Source organism: Homo sapiens, chromosome 4, assembly GCF_000001405.40.
Source record: "Homo sapiens chromosome 4, GRCh38.p14 Primary Assembly".
NCBI lineage: Eukaryota > Metazoa > Chordata > Mammalia > Primates > Hominidae > Homo > Homo sapiens.
In genome coordinates this window covers 131,592,946-131,616,467 of record NC_000004.12, presented here as the reverse complement: position 1 = coordinate 131,616,467, position 23,522 = coordinate 131,592,946, and the positions used below count along the sequence as shown (strand labels likewise).

Sequence of the window (23,522 nt, the reverse complement as noted above, 5' to 3'; positions counted from 1 at the left end):
CAGTACTTGCTAAGATCAGTGAAATAGAATTTTGAATGTCTGATAAAGAGCAAAAAAGAATAAAAATTAGCAATATATATGTAACTGAAATAAAATAGAAACACAATATAATGAAAATAGGTAGGACACAGATAGAACAGTGATTTAACGCTATTTATAGCTTCATGGTCAATAATGGAAAAGTCTATAATTAATGATGTCAACTTTCACCTTAGAAATCCAGAAAAAGAAAAATAAATAAAACAAAAATGTATCTAATGAAGAAAATAATTCAGATCAAAGCAAAAATCAATTAAATAGAAAAACAACAGAGAAAAATTAATTGAACAAAAATTATATATTTGCTAAGATCAGTAAAACTGAATTTTAGATAGACTGATAAAGAATAAAAAGGAAAGCAAAAATTAGCAATATCAGGAAGGAGATAGGAATATTGCTACAAACCTTATAAGATATTAAACATAATTAAGAATTATATTGAACAATTTTTGTTAACACATTTGTCTGCTTAGAAGGTATGAATACATTCTTAAAAAAACAATTTACCGGCCTGGTGCGATGGCTCACACCTGTAATCCCAGCACTTTGGGAGGTTGAGGCGGGAGGATCACGAGGTCAGGAAATCGAGACCATCCCGGCTAACACAGCGAAACCTTGTCTCTACTAAAAATGCAAAAAAAAAAAAAAAAAAAAAAAATTAGACAGGTGTGGTGGTGGACGCCTGTAGTCCCAGCTACTCGGGGGCTAAGGCAGGAGAATGGCGTGAACGTGGGAGGTGGAGTTTACAGTGAGCCAAGATCGCGCCACTGCACTCCAGCCGGGCGACAAAGCAAGACTCCGTCTCAAAAAAAAAAAAAAAAAAAAAAAAAATTTACCAAAACTGAAACAAGAAGAATTAGAATTTTTGAATAAAACTATATTAAGCAAAGAAATTAAATTGGTAAATAAAAAAAATTCCACAAAGAAAAATTTTAGCCTTAATGTCTGATGAATTCTACTAAATATATAGAAAAATAATAATGCCAATTCCACACAAACACTTTCAGAAAATTGAGAAAGGAACACTTTATTTCATGAGGTCAACATTATTTTGATATCATAGCCAAAGTCATAACAAGGAAAGACAATTACAGAGTAATACTGACCCTCGACATAGGAATTAAAATCCTGAAAATGAATTGCCAAAGTGAGTCCACTAATAAATATATAACATAACAAACCACGTCTAAGAGAGGTTTGTCTCATGAATACAAAAATATAATACAAAAATCAATTAATGTACTATATACCATGTTAGTGGAATAAAAGGAAGGAGGCATGTACATAATAATCTCTGTAGATTGAATGAAAGAATATCACAAATTAACATACCTGTTCATGGTTAATAACTCTCAACAAATAAGGGCTATAAGGTAAATCCCTTAAATTGATAAAAGATATTCAGAAAGAACATAAAGCTAGCATTGTACTAAATGGTGAAAGAATGAATACATTATATTTAAGAAGATCAAGGCAATGATATTTGCTCTGACAACTTTTACTTAATATTGCATTGGAATTTCTAGCCAATTCAAGAAGGTAAGAAAAAAAGTAAAGGACATATAGATTCAAAAAAAGGAGTAAGACTTTCCTTATTTAGAAACAATATATTTATATAGAAATTCCTAAAAAAACTTACAAAGACCATTTATAATAGCATCAAAAGTAAATAAATTTAATTATTAAATAAAAATAGAAATTTATAGATATGTGATCAATTTATTTTTTTCTGTGCAAAACCTGCACTCATAATCATCAACTGACAGCATCATATAAATTAACAGGAGGGATTACCAAGTTATCAGTATTTTTAGTTAATTCGTTTTCTAGGACTTCCATAACAAAATACCATAGGTTGGGAAGATTACATTACTTAGATAGCAAAGCCAGATATAGACACCACAAGAAAATAAAACTATAGGCTACAATCCCTGATGAAAATAGATGCAAAAATCTTCAGCAAAATGCTAGCAAACTGAATTCAACAGCGCATTGGAAGGATCAAACACTATGATTAAGTCGGATTTATTCCTGGGATGAAAGAGTCGTTCAACATGGAAAAGCAATTAATGTGGTACATGACATTAACAAAATGAAGGATATAGCCACATGATCAACTTAACAGACTTAGAAAAAGCATTTGACAAAATTCAATATATGATAAAAAAAAAAAGACTTTCAACAATTTAGGTATAGAAGGAAGTTACCTCAACATAATGAAGTTCATGTATAACATCATACTCAGTGGTGAAAAACTGAAAGCTTTTTCACCAAGGCAAGGATGCTCACCTGGCCACCTCTATTAAACGCAGTACTTGAATTCCTAGCCAGAGCAATTTCCTAGAGAGGATTAACAGTGTATTAGGCCCTGCAGAATAAATATGAGCAAATATGAAAACCTAGTAGTTGAAACCACTTGTGGTGAATCATAGAAAATAAAAATAGAAAGAGAACTGAAAAAGTAAACTCAACCTCAGCAACATATGGGAAATACTAACTAATCTGCACAGAGGAAGGGAAAGAAAGGTAAGAATAGAAAAATATATATTTGAGGGCAAAAATGCCTGGGTATTTTCTAAATTTGATAAAAATGGCATACCTACAGATAAAAGGCACTTGATGGGTGTATTTATTCCAGCAGGAAAAAAACAACATAAAAGCATGCCAAGATGCATCATGATTGAATTGCTGAAAGGCAGCAATAAAAAGAAAGTTTGTATCTGAAAGGGTAAGAAAGTACACTAGTTTTTTAACTGCCAGAATTAGTTTCAAAGTGGTTCTAACATTTAATACTCCCATCAACAATGTATGAGTGTTCTGGTTCCTGCACCTCAACTACAACACTTGGTGTTTTGAGTCTGTTTTTGTTTTGTGTTTGCTATTCACGTAAGGTCTAGTGGTATCTTATTTTAATTTTAACTGATATTTCACTGATGTTGAGTCTTTTTTCATGTGTTTTGTGGTCAGATGTATAACTTTTCTATGACGTTTCTCTTTAAATCATTTGCCCTTTTAAAAATATATTTTCTGTTCTCAACACACAGTTATAGGTATTTGTTACATATCATGGATAAGTTCTCTGTTAGATATACATTTCTCAAATACCTCAGAAACCAAAGTTTATTTAGACATGTCCTCATTTCAAATCAGCTAAGTCCAACAAGTATCAATGCTACGTGTGTGTGTTCATCAGCTTGACCTACAAAGACATACACTACAGTTTCTTCACCGAGATTTTCTTTTTTTTTTTTGCAAATTCTTGAATTGCAAGTTATGAGTTAAATAGTTCCTAGATAGTTGTGTTCTGCACACAGCCTGGAACAAAACTCCGTTCTTCATTTGGCAATCTCTAATACAAAATTAAGTAATTAATTACTTAATTTAATTACAAATTAAAATTAATCACTAAAATTAAGTTACTCAATTTGGGAGGATATTCTGACTCTACAGTTTCATTTAAAAACTAGCTATAACTTGCATAGGTCACTTTCCTATTGATTATCTGTTTTTCTATTCACAGGCTCTCAGCTTTGTTAGAGCCCATACTGTGCTTTCATTCCTTACATTATTTGTAGCAGTACCTCAATAAATAGTGAAGGTCAAGAATGTAGAATCCCTCAATTTCTTTAATATGATCACCCCACAAATTCATACTTAAAATCTTAATTTCGAACTTATCAGTTCATCCATAAAAGTGATATTTTGTTCTGCTTATATACCTCAATTCAAAACATATTTTCACTTGCTACATTATTGAAAACCATATTTCCTCTCAATGGTTTTTAAGTTGCACTGTAAAATATGTACTATAATGGATCACATTTGATTAAATTATATGGTGGCTGAGACTATCTTGCAATTCATTCATACCCCAATCAATGACAATTCTATTATTATTTGGTGCCTCATATCCGCTAGCTGAATTGTACCTAACTTATCCTCCTTATCCAAAGGTAGAACTTTTTTGCTTGTAAACTACCTTGTTTCAAATATGTTGAAATTGTATTTCATTTTGTGAGATTTTTCTTTTGTCAAGTTTTACTCACTAAACTTACATGTCCTTTAAGCATGTGAAAAACATTTAAAAAATATATTACCTTAGTTATTTAAATAGCATCGTTTCTTATGATGACCTTTATCAGCACTAAATTATTATTGTAACTGACCAGTCAATTATTAATATTGCTAATAAAAATAAGTAATAAGATAAATGTACCATCAGGATATATCAAAATGGCAATATTGACAAGATAGCTGGTATCAGCTCAAAATGATGCCAAATTCTGCACTTTGATTTTACTTACTATAATTATAGTAGATATCAATTATGCTGTCCTAAAAGCACAATATATTTAGCATCATCAATTAAATTATGTGTTTCATTGGTTTTAACTTGGAAACAAAACAATTTTAGTTAGTTTTTCTTTTCTTTTCTTTTCTTTTTTTTTTTTTTTTTGAGACAGGGACTCACACTGTCACCGAGGCTGGAGTGCAGTGGCACAGTCTCGGCTCACTGTCACCTGGAACTTCTGGGTTCAAGTGATTCTTCCACCTCAGCCTCCAGAGTAACTGGAACTAAAGGCACACATTACCTTGCCCAGCTAATTTTTATATTTTCTTTAGAGATTGGGTCTCACTTTGTGCCCAGGCTGTTCCCAAACTTCTGGGCTCAAGTGATTCTCCCGCCTCTGTCTCTCAAATTGCTGAGATTAAATTAAAGATGAGAGCCACTATATCCAGCCTTTATTTAATTTTTTGAGAAAAAAGTTAAAATACAATGCCTGTTGTGGATAACTTATTTTTACATCATTGAATTTATGACCCATATTTTAAGATTTAATATTATGTGAAATTGATTTTGATGCCGTTTTGCATGCTTGCTTTTTTTCATGCGTGGTAAATGTAGAAGGTGCATTTTTTCCTAATGATGAACTATTTAACAGTCTATAAGATGTAATTTGTTTCCGATTGGATCTTAGACATCGTAAATGTTGTCCATATGTACAATGCATTGTATTTACTTAGATAGACACTATTGGCCTTTTGCTCTGAAGGGAATTACAGTTCTGGCACAGCCGTTTCATTCTTTCAAGGCCAGTTTTAAAGCCTTTTTAAGGACATGTATGTTGTAGTCTTTACACTAGGGCTAATTTAGCTCCCCCATTACATTACTGTTGTTTAGGGTCTCTACTTTAAGCTCCATGTATTCGGCAAGGTCTCTCCATTCTGGCTTGTGAAGCCTTGGATGAGTCCAAGCCTTGTGTGAGCCCTTGGAATTTTTTGGCTTATAGCTCTCCAGAATATTTTCTTTTCCTGAAAATTGTTCTTCACCTGCCTATTCTACCCTCGGAGTGAACAACTTAGTATTTGGCCAAAGACTCCAAAGGTCCACAAATGAATGGAGATTTTTCTCTTTGTAGTTCCTTCCTCTTATTACTCTGTCCTGTAAGTTCCCACCATCTTAGCATTTGTCTCCTCTACTCACTGAGAGACCATCAGGTTCTCTTTGCATCCCACTTCCTTGGTCTAAAAATTGCTTAGAAGTAGAAATATGGGGTAATCAGGCAACAAAAGAAGGAATATGTGACCCATTTCCAGGAAGAAAAAAAAATCAGTAAGTAAAAAGAGATTTGGGAATCACAGAGATGATGAAATTAGCAGACAAGGACATTCAAATACCTATTGTATTACTCAGCAATTAAAGGAAATGAATCACTAATACATGTCATAACAAGGATCACCAAAGCATTGAGTGAGAGAAGCCAGACACATAAGATTACACACTACATTATCCCCTGTACTTAAAATGACAGAAAATGCAAAATCATGGGGACAGAAAACAGATCAGAGGTTGCCAAGGGCCAGAGATAGAGATACGGAATTTGTTGCAAAGGAGCAGGAAAAAACTTTGTAAGGTGATTAAATCGCTTTGGACTTTGGTGGACTTGAGAGCATTCTTAATTTGTGAAAATGTTTCTTGATTGTGGTGGCAATTACATGATTATATACCTTTGTCAAAACTTACTGAACTGAGTATGTTGAAAGAATAAGATTAATTGTATATAAATTATATTTTAATAAACCTGACTTTTTAATAAAAGGACAAAAAAGATGTAATTTGTTAACATTTGTCATGTTTAGAAAGATATGCATATTACATGGTTTATAACAGCATGCAGTCAAGAATACATTCAATGTTATATTATTAAACTAATAAAAACAATGAACATATATTTAGTACTAAGAACAGAAAGGACTACACTATATCTGAACACTCAAGACAACCTGACAAAGCAGTTGCTCTGAATCCTCATCAGTTTATTTGCTTTGACTTTTTAGTGTTACTGAATTATTCAAAAAAGGTCTATTTAAGGGAATGTAGACATTCAATACATTTTTCATCAAATAGGGCAAATTTAGTTCAAAAGATATTTTTAGAAAAATTTCTTGTGAAAATATGTTGATTCACTGACTGAAATTTATCCATACAAATATAACATTATTATTCCAATATCATTAAATAGGAAAATGAAATATTTCACACCATTTTTGTCATCAAATAGGTTATTAGTAAGCTGAATGCATATACTAGTTCAGATAGGTAGATTTTTCAGACCTTGAAAAGATATCTTTGCACTAAATTAAAGAGATGTTTGATTTGTATACATAAATACCTTAGGTTTTACTCTTTGCTTGTTAGGTCACTAATAGGTGAATGAAAAGTGAACCAACACTGTTCTTTGAAAAGCTCTAGAGTGTATGATGGACATGTTTTTCTGGTAAGCTAATCAATAATGAAATCACATTGAAAAATGATGTATGTGAAAAGGCAAATTTAGAGCTAATATAGTGCATTTTATCTTTGCTTTGCATCGTAGTTTTGAAAACCAAGTCTCTTTATGGATTAAATTTTCTTTGTTGTTCTTACAGAATAAAATGATTGTGAAAATATTTTTCTTTAAGATGACTGGTAAAGTCAAGAAAAGTTTATATATTTAAATAAAATGTAAACTCTAGGAATTACACATTTTATAGAGGAATCTACTAAAGGACAATAAATGACTAAAATAGAGACTAAAAGACTAAAATATGCCTGCAATCAGTATTTGTATTTGCAATTTATTATAAATTACCCAGCATTAATCAGCCACTGTGTACCAAGCATTCAACAGTGATGGTGAAATGTGTCAGCAGCTTTCAACTTTGATTTTTGCTCTTATAATTTTTTAGCTTGGTTTTGTTTCCCTTCCCTTTAACAGATCATTTCCTTTCCTGAGTTGGTGCCAGCATCTTGTGTATCTAGATTTCTGAGGACACTGCTTTTCAAAGTGTGCTCTAAAGATCCTTGGTTCTAAAATGGTACTGTCAGAAAGCTGCTTTCACCTATTTGAATACATACTTCTTGTTACATCTGAATTCCAACAGATGCAGTTTTTTTCTTTTTCTTTTTTTTTTTTTTTTTTTTCTGAGGTGGAGTCTTGCTCTGTTGCCCAGGCTGGAGTGCAGTGGTGTGATTTGGGCTCACTGCAAGCTCCGCCTCCTGGGTTCACACCATTCTCCTGCCTCAGCCTCCCAAGTAGCTTGGGACTACGGGTGCCCGCCACCACACCTGGCTAATTTTTTCGTATTTTTAGTAGAGATGGGGTTTCGCCATGTTAGCCTGGATGGTCTCCATCTTCTGACCTTGTGATCCACCTGCCTCAGCCTCCCAAAGTGCTGGGATTACAGGCGTGAGCCACCACTCCTGGCCCAACAGATGCAGCTGTTTGCAGGCAAGTGATACCTGATTGGTGTGAGCTTGGCCTTGGGTTTTTCTGGGAACCCAATAGAGAGAGGTGGAACAGAGGTCTAAACCTGGCAGTTGATAAAGTGGAAAGTAGATATTCCTTGGTAATAAACAATACACAAATGAACTCATTGCTATCTTGATGGAACAGAAATTTCTGCTACTTGAACACCAGAAGCTGTACCTGAGCATCAAGCATAAATTGGCTCATGAATATTGAAAAAGTAAATAGCAGTAAGCCTAAGGTCACCTAACAGGCACACTAACAGGTCACCTAACAAACAGCAGAAAACTTGTTGCTAGTGGAACAAACTTTGGAAGAGACAGGTAGCAATCTGTACAATGAAATGAGAAAAAAGAGACAGAAGTGGAGGAGGAGGTGAACATTTCAATTATAACCTTAGGAAAAATATTTATGCAATAAAGAACATATATTTAAAGTGTAATATATATGTATGTAATTGCACCAATAGAAGTTACTGTTAAGACCATGTTAGTATTCTGTAAAATCAAATAGAATAAATATTACAAAATATAAGTAAATAAAAATAATGAAGGAAAGGATGAGAGAATTGAAGAGCAATGCAGGAAAACCTAAAATTCAAATGAACATCCAGAAGTATAAAAATATCTGGTTGAAAGCAAATAATTTTATAGAACATTTATTAAAATGGTAGAAGTAATTTTATTTAACAAAAGAGTTTTAGTTAGCAGATTTAAAGGCTTATTCCATTTCAGTATGACTGAGCAGAAATACTGGTAAAAAAATCTTGAACTCTAAAAAGAAGCAAGAAATCATAAAAACGTTCAGAAAGAAAAAACATTTAACACCAAAAGAAAAAGAATTCATTGGACGTTATAACTCTCATTGCTAACAAATGATTTGGAATGTTCCACATCAGAAGACAGTAGAATAAAATCTAATGAATACTGAATTAGAAAGAAAAAAAAGACACATCCAGAAATTTTCATGAGTTTACTGATTTGCATAAGTTTAGAGCCTGTACTCACCATCTGCCCCATATGAAGAATAACATTGGCATTAATAGATTCTGTAGTAGATTGGATTTACAGACTGCACACGCAACAATTTCTATCTCAATTTTTTCTTTTTAACCTTCCCTTTTCTAGTGACCCTCTTTTTTTTTTTAAATTCCTTCTCCCATTTTAGAAAGTGTTCTGCTTGACAATCCTGATCGTCATCTATTGAACTAAATTTCATAGTTGCTAATACTTCAAGTGTTCGTTTTTGCTAAAGGGATGACTGACATTTGGAAATGTACAGAGAAATAACTTTATAAGTTTGAGTTAAAGCTTTTTTTCTGTTTCAGAAGTAAAGACATCTGAATGATCAGATCCAACTGATATAACTTATTGGCGTGATTGGATATGGATGCATGGAGGATAAAATACACAAGAAAAGAGATTTCAAGATACTTTCATGAAAATTCATTACTAATGGAAATATAACTAAGATATTTAAATTTATTTATGAAGCATAAAATACTGATATATTATGTGACATATGGCATTTTATAAACTACATGATGCCATTTTTATCTTGCAAAATGAATGACATGGTTTACTTCATCACTACTTTTATTCTATTACTTCAGAAACAATTATTTTTTATGTCTGTTCAACTAAATAATACATTATTGGCTTCATACATTGTGGGAGAGAAGGAAAAATATAACAAGACTTTTTTTCCTAGTTTATTGCTTTTTATGCGTACAAGTATATTCACTTTAACAGCACTTCACATTTATTTAAATTTTAAGCCTTCTTTATATTTGAGCCAATGTTAGTAATTTCTTTAATGTGTATCTCATTGGCTATCTATATATTTATATTTATATCTACATATCTACATCTATTTTTCTATCTACATTATAGACTATAAAAGTATGTTTCTAATGAGAAAATTAATCATAGCAAGTTTTTTAGAGGCTGAGTCTTACTCTGTCTCCTAGTCATTATAGTGCAGTGGCACAATCATAGCTCACTGAAGTCTTGAACTCTTGGGCTCAAGGGATCCTCCCACCTCAGCCTTTCAAGTATCTAGGACTACAGGTGCATGTTACTACGCCCAGCTAATTTTTTTAAATAAGGTCTGGCTATGTTGACCAGGCTGGTTTCAAACTCCTGGGCTCAAGTGATTTTTCTGCCTTGAATTTTCAAAGTACTGGGATTACAGGCATGAGCCACCACACCTGGCCTTTTTTGCATGCTTAATAGAAGAAATAAAAGTTTCTTAATTATAAAAATAGGTTATTAACAGATAATTTCTATCTTGTTAAGTAATCATTTTTACATGGATTTTGTATTGTCAAATAAAAAGCATTTTTGATAAATATAAAAATATGCTTTTGTATTTATGAGAAAATATGAAAAATAGTTACTTTAGAAAACTAAATATTCTTGTCAGTTTGGAAATATAAAAAGTTACATTCAGCCTATAAATGTATAGATTCTGAGAGTTAAAATAATGTTAAACTCATCATGCCAATAAGCTTTGCAGACTCAATTTGAAACCTATACTATGATGGCTAAGCAGTATTACAATTACAGCTCACTAACATATATGACATGCTTGATTTAATAATAAAAGTACCTTCAAAGAGATAATGAAAAATAAATCATAAGTTCTAAACAAATTTTACAAAAGATACAATTTTAGTACTCATACTATCACACAACATACAAACACAGTCATATAATCTGCTTAGCTTTTTTGCCATATTGATACAATTTAGGAAAACATTATAATTTATGTCATATATTTTGTTTGGATAAGTTCAATAATGTCAACAACTCAAATGATGTGGATCACAACTGCAAAATTCAATGGATTACAATGGAAACTATTGCCTAAAGCTCAAACTGAAAACATCCTATCACATTTCTTGTCCACTCTATCTATTGATCAATTATTCAATCATTTGCTTTATTCATTTACATTTGAGACTAGAGATTTTTAGCAGCATTTTTCTTTTCTTACATAAAATATATGCTTCAATATATTTAACTCCCAATAACTGACTTCCTTTTTTATACCACAAAAATTACCAAAGTCAAAACAACCTTATTTCATTTCTTACAGTGGAATTGAAAATTTAGAATAAAAAAAATTTAAAAGATCATGTAGTATCTTATCCTGTGTCCTCAGCAAACACGACTGGGCATAAATGCGCATGGTGTTCACCACCTGCCTCACTCCTTTTTAGTTTTACTTGATCAAAATGAATGTATATTTTGATGTATGATCAAAATGAGTATAATTATCATAAAAACTCTGAGCACCCCTGGTTATGCATTTGGGGTTGATAGATAATTTATGAGCAACTAATTATATCACTAATTTTTTTTTTGCCAAATTCTAAACAAAATTACAGGCTTAAGTAGACATAAAAAGTGGGAATTAAGGAGGTATTCTGCCTAGCAATCTAGTAAATTTCTTAGGTAAACCAATGATTCATCATTTAAACTCTTAAATAAATTTCCTGAACCAAACATTCCATTAATGTATCCAAATTTCAAAACTCTACATGTAAGAATCTAGAAATTTTTAAAAAATATTTAATCCTGGATGTTAAATGCATGCATAACTACTTAATTAGAAAAATGGTGCTAATATTATGTATATGTGTGTATGTGTATTTTTAATCACTAGCATATTTAAGCCAATGTGATGTAAGAGGAGAGAGAGCAGTTCAAATTAAACTGAACAAAACAGAACTTTTAAAATATCTATTGATTTTCTACCTTTCAAAATACATTCATAAATCATGATCATTGCATGTCATTCCTATGTGCCTTGATTCTGCAAACTATAATCTAATCTTTTCCCTCACCCTCCAGAAAAGAACATTTTTCCTAGCATTTCTTCTTACTTATACATTATACTTACTTTACCTTTTTTTATTAGCCTACAATATTGCTCTCTGTACACATGATGATGACATCTCAAGGTCAACAAAATGAACTAATGAATAATAATACTTTTGCTCTCAGTGAGATTCTTGCACACAAGTTTAGTAAACCAAGAAAAAATAAACTCTCAAGCACATCAATGTTTGCAAGCTTCTAACTCTGATTTCTGAAACATTTGAGACCAAAAATCCTTACGCCTACAAACACTTTAAATTTATTATTGAAAATTTATATAGACTATTTTTGCTGCGTATTTTCTATATTCTATACCCACAAGAACACTCCAAATTATCTGACATTTGTATTCTGGATAAACCAAATTGATAAATGTTTTGTAATTTTCATTTCCTATGAAATCAAGAGCAATATTATACTGGTAATATTCATAAAATGATTAGTCCTGTCTCATTTATATTTATTACTCTTTTCTATTTTGATAATTTTTCAAATATTCTGATTATTCATTACCACTACTTACACAATTGATTGGCTATAATGAATACTGTGAGCTCCAGTCAACTGAAATAGCTTTTCTTTATGGGGTTAACATTGGAAAAATAATAAAAATGTGGCAGGTAAATATACTGAATCAGAGAGTGCAAAATATGGATTGGAACAGGACAATTGAAATGAAAAAAAGAAAAATTATGAAAGGCTTTATTGGAAGAGATAAATGTACAAAAATAGCACATGTTAGCAAGAAAGAGTTTCTGTGAATCAATTGTACCTTTATACAGTGTTTCTTAATACCTTCTGCTGTTGAAACATGTTCTAAAGAAGTTCTAAATTCAGTCTTTAATGGAATGCACCTTCGCTGAAGGGTAGCAACTTGACACCCTTCTTTCAGGAGAGTTTGAATTGCATAATGGAAATATCATGACATTAACCAAAGGTGTTCACTAATAACTGATCTGAATTAAATAGGTACAAACCAAAGGCAAGGTACCCTTAGGAATTTGAACATAGAATAATAATGGCCTAATTTATTCAGAGTATAAAGTGCAGCTTAAGTTCAGCAAAGTAATTATAATTTCTATCTTGCAGAAATGTTTTATTTTAATCAGTACAGTCACGTTATTTTTCTCTGGTAATAATTGCTTGGTATCCATAATACACAATATCAATCTATCTACCTACCCATTCACATCTTCAGTCATGAATGTGAAAGGTGCTGTCACTTAGATTTAAAATAAAAATCTAGATTGCTATTTACTGCAAAGTCTCTAAATCAATAAACTAACTCTATTAAACTTATTTTAAATAACATATATGCAAAAATGAGGATATTTAAAAGCCAATAAATGTAGGACAGTGCTGAGATTTAGAATGAATTATAAAAATAGTACAAAGGAAAATTCTAGTTAGTAATTTCTGTTTTGAAACATTTGGATAATTTTTAGTAGATCTAAAAATTTCTGAGTAATCATTTATCAAAATTTGTAAATGCAGCTACATTTATTCTATTTCTATTTTTAATTAATATTTCTTAAATAATATGAAGCAAACTATTTATATATGAGTCAATTTCAAAGAATAGTAATGTAATTTGAAACAATGTGCTTTCAAAATAATTGACAATGCATTGCTATTTATGTAATTATCAGAAGTGCCTGACTTATTTTCTTTTCCCCTATTAATTGCAGCCATGCTTGCCTTCACTAGATGCTCGAGAATTAGGAATGGTTTAATGTCAAAAAATATTCTAAATGCTTACAATTAGAAAAAAAACATATTGTTCCTGTTAACTCATAATTTTTTAATGTTCAATAACAATTTATTTAATAAAATGGATTGTCAAAAAAGGGGATTTTGAAAGTCATCACCTTCATTAAAAATGATTTATTTGATTTTATTCACTAATTTGAGTAAATTATTCATCATGCTAGATACAATTTAAGATTAGAAATGAAAAAAATTGGAACTTATGTTAGACTTATTTGTCCATTTTGATGAATTGTTGGCATGTTTAATTTATTGTTGAATCAACAATCTGAGTTTTTCAAAGATAAAAAAAGCTGGACATTAGCCAAAGTGATGACACCAGATTTTACTCAGTTACTAGTGAATAACAATGTAGGAAAAAGAGTAGAACTCTATTCTGATTTGTGCAGAGATTATGGGACGTTGTAAGCAGATAATGAGGGAGTAGCAAGAGGAAATGAGCCAGAGGCAGAGAAGTGAAAAATTATAAAGAATTGGGTAGTGTAAATGCGATTATGCCAGCTATGTAGATCATCTGGCAACTATCAAAATATATATATATATTTTTTTTTTCTGGGAGATGGAGTCTCACTCTGTCACCCAGGCTGGAGTGCTGTGGCCTGATCTTGGCTCACTCCAACCTCCACTTCTCAGGTTCAAGCAATTCTTCTGCCTCAGCCTCTCGAGTAGCTGGGACTACAGGCGTGTGCCACCATGCCTGGCTAATTTTTGCATTTTTTAGTACAGACGGGATTTTACCACATTGTTCAGACTGGGCTCGAATTTCTAGCCTCAAGTGATCTGCCCGCTTCAGCCTCCCAAAGTTCGGGGATTACAGGTGTGAGCCACCACACCCAGCCTCAAAATTAGGATTCTGTTTTTCCATTGATACTAATAAAGAGAATCCTTATTCTTCATGATGATTACATTTCAAAAAATGGCTTTCAGGTCAGGCCATTGATAGAGACACTCCTGAGCATTAGGAGATACATACTTATATAACTCCAAGGGACAGAGAAAAGATTTATAATTTTGGTCAGGCATGGTGGCTCATGCCTATAATCCCAGCACTTTGGGAGGCCAAGGTGGGCGGATCACATGAGGTCGGGAGTTCGATACCAGGCTTGCCGACATAGTGAAACCCCATCTCTACTAAAAATACAAATACTAGCCAGGCATGGTGGCAGCCGCCTGTAGTCACAGCTACTGGGGAGGCTGAGGCAGGAGAATCGCTTGAACCCGGGAAGCAGAGGTTGCAGTGAGCCAAGATGGCACCGATGCACTTCAGCCTGGGTGACAAGCAAAACTCCTTCTCAAAAAAAAAAAAAAAAAGATTTACAATGTTAACCTTTCCTTTAAGTAAATTCTCTAGGAAAGGGAAATGTTGGCTGAATTAAACAGTAAATTCTTTTGACAGTCTTGAGTTTTCTCAGACAGTCATTTTAAGGAAGGCTGGCCTCCTAGGGTCAAGGCCTTAAGCTGTTAGAAGCCATGCTAGAATTTGGTCAGGTCTGTAAGTGCAGGGATTTGGGTAAAGTTGTTAAGTGCCAGGAGGTTTTTGAAGTTCTCAAGTTAAAGCAGGCTAAATGGGTGGATGAAAAAGAATTGAAACTGATGCAATGCTAGCAGGTACTACTTCTTGGGAAAGCATAGGAAGCAAACAGACCAAACAAAATTAAACAGAAATGGATTGATTTGTTCAACAACAACAAAAACTCAGAACAAGAGAATATGTGAATACTCATATAATTAATGACAATAGTTAAGACTTTATCACTCAAATTAGAATATCATAAATTAGTTTTTTGTAAGGTTATGAGAATTACTTACAAATTCAACAAGCTTTACTCTTGATTAATAGCATGAATAATAAATGGGAATAAAATACATCAAATTAATATTAAATAGCATTTTCTAGGCCACCAGTTCTCATCAGTAACAGCAAAGTCAACAGATTAGTTACAGTAGCTATCTTGTTTTTTTGTTTTTTGGATTTTTTTTTTGAGACAAGGTCTCACCTTGTGCCCAGGCTGGAATGCAGTGGCACCATCCCAGCTCACTGCAACCTCTGCCTCCTGGGCTCAGGCATCCTCCTGCCTCAGCCTCCCATGTAGCTGGGAGTATAGGCACATGCCACAATGCCTGGATTTTTTTTTCTTTTGTATTTTGTGTAGAGTCAGCATCTCATTATATTGCCCAGGCTGGTCTCAAACTCCTGAGCTCAAGCAATCTGCCCATCTCAGCCTCCCAAGGTGCTGGGATTACAGGAGTAAGCCACCGCTCCCAGCCAGGACCCCACTTTTGCACTAGGAACATTCCATTGTGTTACTTGACCCCAAAATACTTGCTCTTAATGTTCACTTTTCTTACTACAGATTTTTACTTGAATTTATTGAAGTAAAATTCATGAGTTTGATGAGTTTCCACAAATACACATTCCTATGTAACTGGCATGAAGATACAGGCCGTTTCCGTCACTCGGAAAGTTTCTCTATTGCCCTTTGCTGTTAATGCCCAGACCAAGGTTATCACTGATGCTATATCTGTCACTGTAAACTAATTTCATCTTTTCTAGATTTTCATAGAAATGAAATATTATGGTGTGAACACTTTTGTGCCCATTTCCTTTTGAACATCTTACTGTTTTAGAGATAAATCTATGGGTTGGCATGTTGCAATAATTTACTACTTTTTATTAGAGTATTAGCTCATTGTATGGATATACCACAATTCATTTATTCATTTACTGATGAATGGAATTTTGAGTTATTTGCAGTTTGTTGTGATTAACAGCTTAAAAGTAAATCTTCTCTGGATATTCAACTACAAATTTTGATGTGGATGTGTGTTTACATATTTTTATTTTTAGAACTTTATATAAAGTTACTGTTTCATTGCCTATTATCTTCATATGTTTGAAAATAATTCAGTAGTACATTTTATAACTGTTTTATTTATATCTATATGTTTTATCTACATTTCAATTTTTTTCTTTATTACTAACTTTCTGCAATGAGATTAAAATAGGCCTTAGTGTGGTCATTGCTTTTCACTTGTTATGCTTTTTAAAAATCTCTTTCATGGTCTACAATTGTACATCTTTTAGCTAGTCTGAACATTCTTTACTACTGGTTATGGGATCTCTAGTTGGGCTTTACATCATTCCAGAAAATGCCTGCAAGCAGAAGCTAGGGGAAACTCCCGGCTCTCTCTCTATCTCTTTATTTCTCTCTCTGTCTCTCTCACTCTCTTTTTAAATTTTCTTTTTGTCAGGGATTAGAGACCTGTGCTCTTATTATCAATGTATGAAAACCATTGATTTTCATCCACTTTTCTAGTTACTTATGATGAGATCACAAGTTAGATCCCAAAAACTCTTTCATCTTGGCCAGAACTGTGTACAGTTTATATCTATATACACACACACATATATATATATATGCTGTATATATGTTTATACTTATGTTTATATAAACTGTATATATATTTATATATATAAACTGTACACAGTTCCTGTACAGTTTATATATATATAAACTTTAACACATATATAAAAGAAAGTTTTATTTTTGAAGTAATTTTATTATTAATGCATTTAAAATTAATGCATTAGAAAAATTACAACATTCTTAACTTTTACAATATATACAAATATATATGTAATCTGAAATACATACATATGCATACATATATACATATACAATACACAAATTTAACTTACACATATCAAAAGGTAATGGAAGTACTTTGTAAAAGGATTAATGATTTTTTTAGTAATGTAATATTTTTTGAAGTTGATACAATTAAGAATATTATGAACCATGAATAAGAATGAGATTTGTTATGTGTGAACGCACCCTTTTTACACAGAGTATATATGGAGTCTCTGTTTTAGTAAACATCTGGTATTTAAAAAGGCTGTTAGAGTTTGAAACATTTTGAGCAACAGATTGTCAGTGTCTTATCAGGAATAGAAGCTTTGTCTTGTAGAACACATCTCAGATTGAGAAATGCATTACAGTTGGTTCAGTGGTTTATTCTGCTCATCTGCCTGGAGATGAAACTTTTTTGGACCCAGTTTATTTTGCAATGACTTAATTTTATCACAGTTTGGAGCACCTGTTTTTGTATCTCTTATTACATATTCTACATACATCCCTAGTAAAGGGAAATTAAGCAGAAACAAACATAAATTGATAACTGGTAGTGTAATGTATTTCATAACCTAAAATCTTGCTGTTTTTAACCCCATCCTGTCATTGTAATTTACTGTAATATTTCTAAAACATAGGTTCTCACTGCTCTTCTTTTTCTGCAGCTTTACACACAGGTGCAGGTTTGAAGCAGTAGAAAAGATGAAAGACAGTTTATGATGCAAATAGTAGTATCATTTACCCTACCCCAACCCTGTAATTGACCTGATGGAGCATAATGTTAAGATTCTCTCTGAATTCACTAAAAGCCACCGGGTAAATATATAGCAAGGAGTATTTTATTGACACAGCAGACCCTAATAGCAGTCTATCTTTAAAAAATACATACTATTTTCTTAACAGAACCAACTGAGGTATTCGTTCTGTAAGTGCATCTTTTCCTTTGCTTTGAGATGAGAAATACCATATCATTTTGTTTTCTGCTACACATTAGCCATAGTCTTTAAAGGCTTCATGCAAAACAGAATAAATCATCCAGACATGTAATATTCACAAGCATAGCAGTTTAAGTAAAATTAGTAGTATTTCTTTTAATTCAAATTCCTGATAGATTTTTTTAAGCCAAGTGCCCAAGAATGTAATATCAATATGTCTATTTAAATAAATTTAGCTGACTAGTTTCTGGATACTTTTTTGATAGCTGAAATATATCTAGAAAAGTTGTATCTTAATCCTTAATGTTCAGGTGTCTTTTCTACCTAAGTAGATAAATGTATAAAAATAATCTTTTATTTGGCTCTATCTCTTACAAAAGTGGAAATTTTTTTGAAAAAGAAAGCAGCACTGACTGAAATGAAATGAAAGGGAAAGAATTTGTTGACCCTTTATGTAAAAGGTTGCAGGAGAAGGTCATATAATCTTGAATATTTGACAAATAAACCTTCCTAGTGATAAGACAATGCTCAGAAGAAAGGCCATATATTTAATGAAGACAAGATTTAAAGGGACAAGTATTGAGACAATCAGATAATCTATGTAGATGTTTTTTGAGCTTATTTAAGCTATCTCATGTTGTAACAAATTGAAAAGAACATATTATTAGTTTAAATAATTCAAAATGTAGCCATGCTCAAGGCTTTCCTTTAAAAGTGTTAATATGAAAATACACAAATACATATGCTCGACATATAATTTATTTCAGATATATTGTGAGTTTGGTCTATCAGTTTGCTTATATTTGAAGCAAGGAGTCACAAAACAAAATTCCAAATCTTCTGAACACTTCATTGAGGCCATTATGCTTTAGTCAGTATGACTGAACGTTTGCAATACTCTTAAAATGAATTTATCTTTTTTGCAAAACTCAAGTTGGCACATTTAAATCTGAGATAGACCCCAGTGTTCCTTTTGGAGATAAAATAAGTAAGTACCATACTTGTTTGATACAGAAGTATTCAAAGCGTCTAGCGTTTCATAAGTTTCCTTATGCCAAAATAAAAAAAAATAAATTCATACAACATACTAGTACGAAAGTGAAATAATATTATACTTTGCCCATTTGGCTTTCTACTTTGACAAACCATTATATCTAACACAATTCTAGAAGATAATGTCCTCTAATACAAAGATCTGTTATGCGTTTTAATATTAGGCTTTTCTGTTATCCAACCTTAAATTAATAAGCAACTTGCATTGTTAGGAACACTGTTGCTGGTCAATGCAGATGTCCTTTTCTTTTTATCTCCCTTTCTTTTCTCTTCCACTTCACAATGATCTCTAATTGAGGTTATTTGATGTCCTGTACATTGGTACCAAGAATTCCAGGATGCATTTAGCCAAAGTGGATTGCTCAACTAAGCTCTATTCAGAGATATGATTATGGTCACTCTTCAGTTGACTTCATGGTAATTAAAAGCAGGTTAACTAAATGAGAGACTTGAGAATTCATTTGAGTTAATTCATGTGAATATTTATTTTGATGTATCATCAGGCAATGTTAGCTTTATATTAAAAAGAAGTGATGCCCTTTACACAGCCAGAATTAATTCATTATTCATACGAAATATTTGGTATAATCTAAAGTGAGATAAGTAGTTAATAACAGAAGTCAGTATAGTTTTTAAAAGTTCTAGTTGTAAGTTTGTAACATTATAGTAACAAACTGCCTCATAATAAAAATTTTATTTACTTGATACATAATATTGGGAGGTGAATCATGTGCATACTATAGGGAAGTTCATTGCACACAAAAAAAGAGAAAAAAGAAAGAAACAGAGAAGGGGAAGGAAGGAAAAAAGGAAGGGAGGAAGAAAGAAAGGGAGGAAGGAAGGGAGGGAGGGAGGAATAAAGGAAGGAAGGAAAGAAGGAAGGAAGAGAGGGAGGAAAGGAAAGGAAGGAAGGATATGAGGAAGGAAGGAAGAAAGGGAAGAAGGGAAGAAGGAAGGGAGAGGGGGAGGGAAGGAAGAAAGGAAGGAAGAATATAAGGAAGGAAGGAAGCGAAGAAGGAAGGGAGAGAAGGAAGGAAGGAAGGAAAGAAGGAAGGAAAGAAGGAAGGGAGAGAGGGAGGAAAGGAAGAAAGGAAGGATATAAGGAAGGAAGGGAGGAAGGAAGGGAGAAAAGGAAGGAAGGAAGCAAAGAAGGAAGGGAAAGAATGAAGGAAGGAAGGAAGGAAGGAAGGGAGGAAGAAAGGAAGGGAGGAAGGGAGGGAGGGAAGGGCGGAGGGACGAAGGAAGGAAGGAAGGAAAGAAAAGAAGGAAGGAGAGAGAATCAGGCACAAGCATGTGCATCTTCACTGACAATTAATTCTGTAAGACTTGTTTTTGTTTGGTGGGAAAAGAATAAGGGAGCAAAGGTAATCATTTAAATTTCAGAAGGCTACCTAGCAGTTTTTTTTTAATAAGGATTATCTAAAATTTAGTTATATAAATTTAATAATTAAATTATATATACAAACGGAGGTACAAATTATTCAAGACATAAACTTCCTAATTATTTTATTAAATTTTATTATCTGTATTTTTGAGATTATGTATATCTATTTTATTTGTATAGCAAAAACTACTTTATAGTAATGTACTACTGAACTTGTCTTTCAACTTCACATTCAGTGATAACATTTTGATTGCTTGAAATAAGCCATGCTAGTATTTACACTGTGGAAATGAGCAAGTACTACCTATCAGAGTTTGAGTTATTGCTTTGTTTATTCTTTAGATTTACAAAAGTAATGGTTCTATCACGTGAATTGTGAATAGCAAAAAGAATAAATAAAAGAGGAGAGCAAGAGAGATAATATGATTGTAGTATTCAAAAAGTATGATTCAATTCAGCAAAGAAGCACTGATGTACTTGATAAATGAGTAAAATGTGAGCATATGTCTTTGTTATTCTACTTTTGTCTTACTCATTAACCTGTACATAAATGTAAAAGAATTTTGTGAGCCTCAGTTGGATATGTAAAATCTGTAATAAAGGGTATTGTATATTTTGTTAATATTTGTAAATTATGTGTTGCGTAATCTTTATATCAGTAGAAGTTATAATATGCATAGACATGTTTGTTTGTTTGTTTCAGGAAATAGTTATTAAACATTTAACAGCTGACTATTGTCTAGGACACATATACCTAAAACCTGTTTTGCAATGAAATCTCTAGTGCGTTCTCAAAGAAAGATGTAATGGTGGGAAAGCTTGTGAGTGCACACTCCTGGTCTGTTGATTGTGGCTAAGCAAAGCATGAGATAAAAGAGAAAATATTTCTCAGATAAGCTATATGTAAATTTAGATGCATATGGTAACCACAATTCTAACCTGGCCTCCATGATTGCTGTCCCCTGGTATACAAATGTTTGTTCAATAACTATTCTTGATTGTGGGCAGGACCTGCAACTTGCATCTAGCCAATAGAATATCTCAGATTGAAGGAATTTCAGAGATGAGATTATGGTCCCTCTTCAGTTGACTTCATGGTAATTAAAATTAGATTATTTGAGGTGAGTCTATTCTAATCAAGTGAGCCCTGTAAAGAGGATCAGAAGCAAGAGAGCAGAAGCAATGCATTATCTCTCTCCTTCTCTTCTCTCCATTACTGGCTTCAAATCAAATAAGAAAGTTATACAAGGAAAGGAATTTTACGAACAACCTGAAGAATCTTGAAAGTGGAATCTTCCTTAGGCAAGTCTAAAGATGAGAATGCATCCTGGCCAACACCTCTATTACAGCACAGCAAGATCGTGAGCACAGAACCTAATTAAGCTGTGACCAATAGAAGCTGTGAGATTGAAATTTAGGTCATTTTAAACTCTAGGTGTGTGGTGTTATAAATGTGTATGTATGTGTGTCATGTGTATCCAATACATACAATACAGTACAGTCACAAAAAATATGTAATGTATGATTCTATTTATATGAAATATCCATAATAGAAAAATCTACAGAGATGGAAAGGAGCTTAGTGGTTACCTAGGAATTGGGGAATAGAAGATGACTGCTAAAGGGCATGGCATTTCATTTTGGGGTGACAAAGTGTTCCAAAAATAATCTAAGGTGATGATTGCATAACTGTATATGTATAATACAAAATTATTTCATTGTATACTTCAAAGGGTTCAATGTAAAGTATTAAATTATAATTCAATAAAGCTGACTTAAAAATCTTAAAGAAATACTGTAATCCCAGCACTTTGGGAGGCCGAGGCGGGCAGATCGGAAGGTCAGAAGATCGAGACCATCCTGGCTAACATGGTGAAACCCTGTCTCTACTAAAAATACAAAAAAAAAAAAATTAGCCGGGCTTGGTGGCGGGCACCTGTAGTCCCAGCTATTCGGGAGGCTGGGGCAGGAGAATGGTGTGAACCCGGGAGGCGGAGCTTGCGGTGAGCTGAGATCATGCCACCGCACTCCAGCCTGGGCGACAGAGACTCTGTCTCAAAAAAAAAAAAAAAAAAACTTAAAGAAATAATGACATTCTAAGATGCATAAAAACTGAGAAAATTAATTGTTAGAAGACCAACCTATAAGGAATGTCAAAGAAAATTATTTCTGTAGGAAGAATATAGTATATTCAGAAACATGGTTCTACCCACAAACAAATTAAGAACATCAGAAATAGAATAATTTATAAAAAGATTTTATTATCATTGTAAGTGCTCTAAAATTTAAGTTTATATCCCATATGAAAATGAAATGGATGAAAAAATAGAGCAAGGAATGGGATGGAGTAATAGGGCATATGCTATCTGCTTCAGCAGTGGGATAATAATTAAAGGTAGAGTTGTATTATATTAAAAACGTACTTTTTAGAGTCTATGAAAACTACTATAAAAAAAAATAGAGGCCAGGGGGCAGTGGATCATGCCCGTAATCCCAGCACTTTGGGAGGCTGAGGCGGATGTATTACCTGAGGTCAGGAGTTTGAGACCAGCCTGGCCAACATGGTGAAACTCCGTCTCTACTAAAAATAAAAAAGTTAGCCAGGCATGGTGGTGGACACCTGTAATTCCAGGTACTTGGAAGGCTGAGGCTGGAGAATGGCTTCCCGGGAGGCAGAGGTTGCAGTGAGCCAAGATCATGCCACTGCACTCCAGCCTGGGTGACAGAGTGAGACTCCATCTCAAAAAAAAAATAAAAAAAATTTTTAAAAAAGAGAAAAGGAATCATAAAAAGACATAATTCAATTCAGAAAAAGAAGAGAAAGAGAAAACATAAAACAAGTGTAAGACAGCAGGGAAGATGGTAGATTTTAATATAAACAGGTGGATAATCACTTTAAATGGAAATGGTCTAAACTTACTAGTTGAAAGTAAACATAGATTATCAGATTTGATTAAAGAAACAAAGCAAGACCCAACATAATGGTGACTGCAAGCATCCCATTTTAGATACTGACATAGATAGATTAAAAGTAAAGT

General features: G+C 32.8%; 1 long non-coding RNA gene across 4 annotated transcripts in view, besides 1 other annotated feature; it reads right to left on the bottom strand.

Annotated features, from left to right (window-relative positions):
- Positions 1–23,522, bottom strand: part of LINC02377 (long intergenic non-protein coding RNA 2377) — a 338,568-nt gene that overhangs the window by 101,857 nt on the left and 213,189 nt on the right. The gene's annotated exons all lie outside the window — the stretch shown is intronic.
- Positions 2,394–2,443: an enhancer, noted in NCBI's record as "active region_21905". NCBI's record gives its function as "activates an Ori minimal core promoter by ATAC-STARR-seq in GM12878 lymphoblastoid cells {active_cell/tissue: GM12878}" and the evidence as "EXISTENCE:reporter gene assay evidence [ECO:0000049][PMID:35858748]".